General features: G+C 40.1%; 1 long non-coding RNA gene across 1 annotated transcript; it reads right to left on the minus strand.

Moving 5' to 3' along the window:
- Positions 1-1,181: 1,181 nt before the first annotated feature.
- On the minus strand, positions 1,182-9,534 carry LOC105371960 (uncharacterized). The gene is made up of 3 exons (XR_935094.2): positions 9,428-9,534; positions 1,561-1,697; positions 1,182-1,331 (listed from the first exon to the last, which is right to left on the minus strand). It is a non-coding gene; the product is annotated as an uncharacterized LOC105371960 (long non-coding RNA).
- Positions 9,535-9,837: the final 303 nt, after the last annotated feature.

Genomic DNA, 9,837 nt, shown 5'->3' on the forward strand with positions numbered 1-9,837 from the left:
GGAAGATACAACATTTACAATGAGAGTGAGTGCAACCAGGGACCTTACATTTGTCAGTTTCTCCTATTTCTTTCCAGTCTGCTTTTAGATTCCTCAATAATGTTGCATGCTAACATAATTTCCCACTGCTTGGAAACAACACATACTCAGAAATCCCTCATTTTAATTAAAAGACTCTTACTGAACTAAGAGGTCTTGTCAGGACGATCTTTTTCACTTTATGTCAACTGCCTGTTCTCACTACAGATTAATTACAGATAAAATGATTTGGGGGATTTGTGAGAGGGCTATTTTTCATCTTTGTTAATATTGTTCTTTCTTTTTTACTGTTTATAAACAGCAAATACACTGTCTATGAAAGAACATTAGGTACCATCCATTAGGTATGATCTATTATTGAGTATTTTTACAGAATTCCTACCACTTGTGAGATTAAGATGACATTTTTCGGTAAGGTGATCATTCTTTATGCAAAGGAACACTATCAAGAAAATGAAAACCAAATGAGAGCAACAAGAGAAAGACTCTTCCTTTTGGATTAGTTACTTCAGACATACACAAACAAAACACATCCAGACAACCAAATAAGTATTAAAAACACCAATGGTGTTTTATCCAAATTAGATTAGAAGCCACTTAGGAAAGGTGTTATAGGAAAGTACAAATGAATCCAAGGAAGGTTGGTGAGTTTTCAGTGATAATGAAAGTTGATGTTGATCCTTGATCCCTGGAATATATGGTACCTCATGACCCTCACATATAAAGAAATGGCTCTACCCCATGGATGTTGTCAGTTATCAGAGGTCACTCTATGGAATGCCTGCCCTGACTGTCAGGGGTCCAGCCAGATTCTTACAATCCCCATGTAATGTGTAGAGAACGTCACTCTAAATGATGGGGCTAGTGAGAACAGAACATCTCTGCTGTCATCTCTGGAAACTGTCACTCTGGCAAGCCTTTTCTTATCTTTCCTGTATCACTCTGTATTTTCCCTTTCATGACTCATTCCTTCCAATTTTCTGTTTCATCTCTTTCCACTATGCCCTCTAGAGTCCAACTATGCCAAAAGCAGGAACAAAGAAAAAAAAATTCTCTTTAATTATGAAATTCCACACAAAATGCTGTATCTTGGCTGTATTAGTCTGTTTTTATATTGCTATAAAGAAATACATGAGACTGGGTAATTTATAAAGAGAAGAGGTTTAATTGGCTCACGCTTCCACAGGCTGTAAAGGAAGCATGAAGCTGGCACCTGCTCGGCTTCTGAGGAGGTCTCAGGAAATTTTCAATCGTAGTGGAAGGTGAAGGGGAAGCAGGCACATCTTCCATGGCTGGAGAAGGAGGAAGAAAGAGAGGGGAACGTTGTTACATACTTGTAAACAACCAGAACTTGCGAAAACTCTATCACAAGACCAGCACTAGGGGAATGGTGCTAAAGCATTGGAAACCACCCCCATGATCCAATCACTTCCCACCAGCCCCCACCTCCAGCATTGGGGATTACATTTCGACATGAGATTTGGGTGGGGACACAGATTCAAACCCTATCATTGGCCTTACCTTATTTCTGGGTTTTTCTCAAGTTAATAACTTCCCTTGAAACTATCCAGTAATGTCTTCTAATTTTGAGTGAGAAGGTTGCAGGCGGTGATCTATATTCTAAGTCTTTATTTCAAGCTCAGATTATTCTTCCTTCACTTTAAGGGAAGAAAATAATTCAAAATTAAAGACAAGACCTTCTTTGAGTTCCATAATTTCTGGCTCTGCTTCCATCTCATCTCTTTATTGTGATGATAAACTTCTGTGTCGACATTTACCCTAGACTCTGGACTTTCCTTCTCTGACTCCTGGATCCTGGCTACATTTCGTCTTTGAATATTCCCACCTGCAGAGCCTGAGCTCCAGCCACACTGAACCACTTGCTTTCTCCAAATGTTCCACGCTTTCTTCAGCTTCCCTGCTTTTATGCCTCTTGCTCCTTCTTCTTTTGACTCTACGGGTCTCCTCCCCACTCACACCTTCTCTTGCTTAGTAACTTCTACTTTTCCCTCTTCTTCAAACCTTTCCTTGGAATGGTTGTCCCTCTTCTGCCAGAGTGTTCTTACTGCTTGTTGATGCTCTTCACTAAACTGTATTGCTCTTTGAGGGTATAGTCTGTGCTGTGTCTCTTTCTACTGTATGTCAGAGCTACCATACAGTAGAGGTAAAATGCCTGTTTGCTCAGAGAATGAATGAGTGAACAAAGGAGGCCTTTGATAATTTAGGCAACTCATGATCCAGGTGTGGAAGGTGTGGAAGTTACTGCTCCCTCCCCAGCCATTAAACAGCAGTAGATGTCAATGACTCCCAAAATCTGCTTAATGAAGATTCACATGTTTTTCCTAACTCACTCAAATTTGTCTTTAATTTAACAGTTATTCCTCTTGACTTCTGGCTTGGCATTTAGGGTTCCTTTCAATTGTAAATCCAAACAAGTACAATAAGGCCACTAGGCAAAGAAAGAGGCAATTGTGCTAGTAATAACATGCCCAAGACTACATCTCAGCTTGAGCTTTGGCAAACTAAGCCTTAGGCCATGGTTTGGTTGGTTTCTACTTCTCTGCTTCTGAACTTCCTTCTTCAAATCATTAATTTTATCGGAACTTTTTGGCACATGGATCAGAAGAAATAAGTCTCCAAAAGGACTGAGTGAAAAGGCCAAATGGTAATCCTATATCTTGGGATTTCTTGTTATATTATATTGTATCCTGAATTTGGGTCATGGCTAAACAAATATTTTCATACACAAACACACACACACACATACACACACACACTCACACACATGACTAATATATTCATTGATCGGTGTATAGATGCTAAATACATGTCTTGAAGTTGAGATCACAGAAATTCAGTTTCATGGAATTAGTTATGGCACTGATTGATATTGGGACAGGAAAAAAGAAAATCTTCAGTATCACTTAGAAATATATATATATATCTCAAGGTTTTATATATGTATATATATGTGTGTATATATATATATATATGTATATATATATATATATATATATATATGTATATATATATGTATATATATATATATATATATATATATATATATCTCAAGATTGTGAGCAAAACTATTTAAATATCTTGTCTAATTTTTCTGTAATTTTCCTGATGAACTTTTCAGTAAGATGGAACTTTAAATTGATGGGTCATACCTCCTTAGTGTTTTCTAGCTGTCTCAGAAAAATGTTTTGGTTTCATCTCTTGACCTTTGAGAGATTCCAAGAATAGCCATTATTTTTAATGCTGGATGACTAAGGGCAAATCCTAGTGGATATGAAACATCCTAGTTCTCATGAGCCTCTGAGATTTTTACATTCCTATGTTTATTCTAATCATTTTGCAAGTGATTTTAGTTTGTCTAATTTTGAGGATGACTTGAAAATCATAACTGGAATTTTTTATTATATTCTATTCTCTTTTTTTTTGTTTAAGTTTTAGGGTACATGTGCACATTGTGCAGGTTAGTTACATATGTATACATGTGCCATGCTGGTGCACTGCACCCACTAACTCATCATCTAGCATTAGGTATATCTCCCAATGCTATCCCTCCCCCCTCCCCCCACCCCACAACAGTCCCCAGAGTGTGATATTCCCCTTCCTGCGTCCATGTGATCTCATTGTTCAATTCCCACCTATGAGTAAGAATATGCGGTATTTGGTTTTTTGTTCTTGCGATAGTTTACTGAGAATGATGTTTTCCAATTTCATCCATGTCCCTACAAAGGACATGAACTCATCATTTTTTATGGCTGCATAATATTCCATGGTGTATATGTGCCACATTTTCTTAATCCAGTCTATCATTGTTGGACATTTGGGTTGGTTCCAAGTCTTTGCTATTGTGAATAATGCCGCAATAAACATACGTGTGCATGTGTCTTTATAGCAGCATGATTTCTAGTCTTTTGGGTATATACCCAGTAATGGGATGGCTGGGTCAAATGGTATTTCCAGTTCTAGATCCCTGAGGAATCGCCACACTGACTTCCACAATGGTTGAACTAGTTTACAGTCCCACCAACAGTGTCAAAGTGTTCCTATTTCTCCACATCCTCTCCAGCACCTGTTGTTTCCTGACTTTTTAATGATTGCCATTCTAACTGGTGTGAGATGGTATCTCATTGTGGTTTTGATTTGCATTTCTCTGATGGCCAGTGATGCCAGTGATGATGAGCATTTTTTCATGTGTTTTTTGGCTGCATAAATGTCTTCTTTTGAGAAGTGTCTGTTCATGTCCGCCCACTTTTTGATGGGGTTGTTTGTTTTTTTCTTGTAAATTTGTTTGAGTTCATTGTAGATTCTGGATATTAGCCCTTTGTCAGATGAGTAGGTTGTGAAAATTTTCTCCCATTTTGTAGGTTACCTGTTCACTCTGATGGTAGTTTCTTTTGCTGTGCAGAAGCTCTTTAGTTTAATTAGATCCCATTTGTCAATTTTGTCTTTTGTTGCCATTGCTTTTGGTGTTTTAGACATGAAGTCCTTGCCCATGCCTATGTCCTGAATGGTAATGCCTAGGTTTTCTTCTAGGGTTTTCATGGTTTTAGGTCTAACGTTTAAGTCTTTAATCCATCTTGAATTGATTTTTGTATAAGGTGTAAGGAAGGGATCCAGTTTCAGCTTTCTCCATATGGCTAGCCAGTTTTCCCAGCACCATTTATTAAATAGGGAATCCTTTCCCCATTGCTTGTTTTTCTCAGGTTTGTCAAAGATCAGATAGTTGTAGATATGCGGCGTTATTTCTGAGGGCTCTGTTCTGTTCCATTGATCTATATCTCTGTTTTGGTACCAGTACCATGCTGTTTTGGTTACTGTAGCCTTGTAGTATAGTTTGAAGTCAGGTAGTGTGATGCCTCCAGCTTTGTTCTTTTGGCTTAGGATTGACTTGGTGATGAGGGCTCTTTTTTGGTTCCATATGAACTTTAAAGTGGTTTTTTCCAATTCTGTGAAGAAAGTCATTGGTAGCTTGATGGGGATGGCATTGAATCTGTAAATTACCTTGGGCAGTATGGCCATTTTCACGGTATTGATTCTTCCTACCCATGAGCATGGAATGTTCTTCCATTTGTTTGTATCCTCTTTTATTTCCTTGAGCGGTGGTATGTAGTTCTCCTTGAAGAGGTCCTTCACATCCCTTGTAAGTTGGATTCCTAGGTATTTTATTCTCTTTGAAGCAATTGTGAATGGGAATTCACTCATGATTTGGCTCTCTGTTTGTCTGTTGCTGGTGTATAAGAATGCTTGTGATTTTTGTACATTGATTTTGTATCCTGAGACTTTGCTGAAGTTGCTTATCAGCTTAAGGAGATTTTGGGCTGAGACAATGGGGTTTTCTAGATATACAATCATGTCATCTGCCAACAGGGACAATTTGACTTCCTCTTGTCCTAATTGAATACCCTTTATTTCCTTCTCCTGCCTGATTGCCCTGGCCAGAACTTCCAACACTATGTTGAATAGGAGTGGTGAGAGAGGGCATCCCTGTCTTGTGCCAGTTTTCAAAGAGAATGCTTCCAGTTTTTGCCCATTCAGTATGATATTGGCTGTGGGTTTGTCATAGATAGCTCTTATTATTTTGAAATACATCCCATCAATACCTAATTTATTGAGAGTTTTTAGCATGAAGAGTTGTTGAATTTTGTCAAAGGCTTTTTCTGCATCTATTGAGATAATAATGTGGTTTTTGTCTTTGGCTCTGTTTATATGCTGGATTACATTTATTGATTTGCATATATTGAACCAGCCTTGCATCCCAGGGATGAAGCCCACTTGATCATGGTGGATAAGCTTTTTGATGTGCTGCTGGATTCGTTTTGCCAGTATTTTATTGAGGATTTTTGCATCAATGTTCATCAAGGATATTGGTCTAAAATTCTCTTTTTTTGTTGTGTCTCTGCCTGGCTTTGGTATCAGAATGATGCTGGCCTCATAAAATGAGTTAGGGAGGATTCCCTCTTTTTCTATTGATTGGAATAGTTTCAGAAGGAATGGTACCAGTTCCTCCTTGTACCTCTGGTAGAATTCAGCTGTGAATCCATCTGGTCCGACTCTTTTTGGTTGGTAAGCTATTGATTATTGCCACAATTTCAGATCCTGTTATTGGTCTATTCAGAGATTCAACTTCTTCCTGGTTTAGTCTTGGGAGAGTGTATATGTCAAGGAATTTATCCATTTCTTCTAGATTTTCTAGTTGATTTGCGTCGAGGTGTTTGTAGTATTCTCTGATGGTAGTTTGTATTTCTGTGGGATCGGTGGTGATATCCCCTTTATCATTTTTTATTGCGTCTATTTGATTCTTCTCCCTTTTTTTCTTTATTAGTCTTGCTAGCGGTCTATAAATTTTGTTGATCCTTTCAAAAAACCAGCTCCTGGATTCATTAATTTTTTGAAGGGTTTTTTGTGTCTCTATTTCCTTCAGTTCTGCTCTGATTTTAGTTATTTCTTCCCTTCTGCTAGCTTTTGAATGTGTTTGCTCTTGCTTTTCTAGTTCTTTTAATTGTGATGTTAGGGTGTCAATTTTGGATCTTTCCTGCTTTCTCTTGTGGGCATTTAGTGCTATAAATTTCCCTCTACACACTGCTTTGAATGTGTCCCAGAGATTCTGGTATGTTGTGTCTTTGTTCTCGTTGGTTTCAAAGAACATCTTTATTTCTGCCTTCATTTCGTTATGTACCCAGTAGTCATTCAGGAGCAGGTTGTTCAGTTTCCATGTAGTTGAGCGGTTTTGAGTGAGATTCTTAATCCTGAGTTCTAGTTTGATTGCACTGTGGTCTGAGAGATAGTTTGTTATAATTTCTGTTCTTTTACATTTGCTGAGGAGAGCTTTACTTCCAAGTATGTGGTCGGTTTTGGAATAGGTGTGGTGTGGTGCTGAAAAAAATGTATATTCTGTTGATTTGGGGTGGAGAGTTCTGTAGATGTCTATTAGGTCCGCTTGGTGCAGAGCTGAGTTCAATTCCTGGGTATCCTTGTTGACTTTCTATCTCGTTGATCTGTCTAATGTTGACAGTGGGGTGTTAAAGTCTCCCATTATTAATGTGTGGGAGTCTAAGTCTCTTTGTAGGTCACTCAGGACTTGCTTTATGAATCTTGGTGCTCCTGTATTGGGTGCATATATATTTAGGATAGTTAGCTCTTCTTGTTGAATTGATCCCTTTACCATTATGTAATGGCCTTCTTTGTCTCTTTTGATCTTTGTTGGTTTAAAGTCTGTTTTATCAGAGACTAGTATTGCAACCCCTGCCTTTTTTTGTTTTCCATTTGCTTGGTAGATCTTCCTCCATCCTTTTATTTTGAGCCTATGTGTGTCTCTGCACGTGAGATGGGTTTCCTGAATACAGCACACTGATGGGTCTTGACTCTTTATCCAATTTGCCAGTCTGTGTCTTTTAATTGGAGCATGTAGTCTATTTACGTTTAAAGTTAATATTGTTATGTGTGAATTTGATCCTGTCATTATGATGTTAGCTGGTTATTTTGCTCGTTAGTTGATGCAGTTTCTTCCTAGTCTTGATAATCTTTACATTTTGGCATGATTTTGCAGCGGCTGGTACCGGTTGTTCCTTTCCATGTTTAGTGCTTCCTTCAGGAGCTCTTTTAGGGCAGGCCTGGTGGTGACAAAATCTCTCAGCATTTGCTTGTCTGTAAAGTATTTTATTTCTCCTTCACTTATGAAGCTTAGTTTGGCTGGATATGAAATTCTGGGTTGAAAATTCTTTTCTTTAAGAATGTTGAATATTGGCCCCCACTCTCTTCTGGCTTGTAGGGTTTGTGCCGAGAGATCCGCTGTTAGTCTGATGGGCTTCCCTTTGAGGGTAACCCGACCTTTCTCTCTGGCTGCCCTTAACATTTTTTCCTTCATTTCAACTTTGGTGAATCGGACAATTATGTGTCTTGGAGTTGCTCTTCTCGAGGAGTATCTTTGTGGCGTTCTCTGTATTTCCTGAATCTGAACGTTGGCCTGCCTTGCTAGATTGGGGAAGTTCTCCTGGATAATATCCTGCAGAGTGTTTTCCAACTTGGTTCCATTCTCCCCATCACTTTCAGGTTCACCAATCAGACGTAGATTTGGTCTTTTCACATAGTCCCATATTTCTTGGAGGCTTTGCTCATTTCTTTTTATTCTTTTTTCTCTAAACTTCCCTTCTCACTTCATTTCATTCATTTCATCTTCCATTGCTGATACCCTTTCTTCCAGTTGATCGCATCGGCTCCTGAGGCTTCTGCATTCTTCACGTAGTTCTCGAGCCTTGGTTTTCAGCTCCATCAGCTCCTTTAAGCACTTCTCTGTATTGGTTATTCTAGTTATACATTCTTCTAAATTTTTTTCAAAGTTTTCAACTTCTTTGCCTTTGGTTTGAATGTCCTCCTGTAGCTCAGAGTAATTTGATCGTCTGAAGCCTTCTTCTCTCAGCTTGTCAAAGTCATTCTCCATCCAGCTTTTTTCCGTTGCTGGTGAGGAACTGTGTTCCTTTGGAGGAGGAGAGGCGCTCTGCTTTTTAGAGTTTCCAGTTTTTCTGTTCTGTTTTTTCCCCATCTTTGTGGTTTTATCTACTTTTGGTCTTTGATGATGGTGATGTACAGATGGGTTTTTGGTGTGGATGTCCTTTCTGTTTGTTAGTTTTCCTTCTAACAAACAGAGAGGACCCTCAGCTGCAGGTCTGTTTGAATACCCTGCCTGTTATTCACACTGACCTTTGTGAGGTGTCAGTGTGCCCCTGCTGGGGGGGGGTGCCTCCCAGTTAGGCTGCTCAGGGGTCAGTGGTCAGGGACCCACTTGAGGAGGCAGTCTGCCGGTTCTCAGATCTCCAGCTGCGTGCTGGGAGAACCACTGCTCTCTTCAAAGCTGTCAGACAGGGACATTTAAGTCTGCAGAGGTTACTGCTGTCTTTTTGTTTGTCTGTGCCCTGCCCCCAGAGGTGGAGCCTACCGAGGCAGGCAGGCCTCCTTGAGCTGTGGTGGGCTCCGCCCAGTTGGAGCTTCCCGGCTGCTTTGTTTACCTAATCAAGCCTGGGCAATGGCGGGCGCCCCTCCCCAAGCCTGGCTGCCGCCTTGCAGTTTGATCTCAGACTGCTGTGCTAGCAATCAGCGAGACTCCGTGGGCGTAGGACCCTCTAAGCCAGGTGCGGGATATAATCTCGTGGTGGGCTGTTTTTTAAGCCTGTCGGAAAAGCGCAGTATTCGGGTGGGAGTGACCCGATTTTCCAGGTGCCGTCCATCACCCCTTTCTTTGACTTGGAAACGGAACTCCCTGATCCCTTGCGCTTCCCAAGTGGGGCAATGCCTTGCCCTGCTTTGGCTCGCGCACGGTGCGCGCACCCACTGACCTGCCCCCACTGTCTGGCACTCCCTAGTGAGATGAACCCCGTACCTCAGATGGAAATGCAGAAATCACCGTCTTCTGCGTCGCTCAGGCTGGGAGCTGTAGACCGGAGCTGTTCCTATTCGGCCATCTTGGCTCCTCCCTCTATCCTATTCTCTTTTAATCATACCTGGTTTCCTTAGTTAAAGTCAACTTTACAAAAGGCAGGGGTGCACAGAAACTTGCAGAAAGTTCCATGTTAATGAGAAGCAACGTGAAAACCTCTCCACACTACATTTAACAATCTAAATTGATTTTTTTTCAAATACTCTGTATGCACATGGATGTCTTTTATGGTTGTGTATGAGCTTATATAAAACAGAAGTATAAATACACTGTGAGCCTCACCCATGTGTTATGTCTACTATCTGATCTCAAATTTTCAAGAGGTGATAAGAAATTTGCTCAGGGAACAAGAC

Source organism: Homo sapiens, chromosome 18, assembly GCF_000001405.40.
Source record: "Homo sapiens chromosome 18, GRCh38.p14 Primary Assembly".
Lineage (NCBI taxonomy): Eukaryota > Metazoa > Chordata > Mammalia > Primates > Hominidae > Homo > Homo sapiens.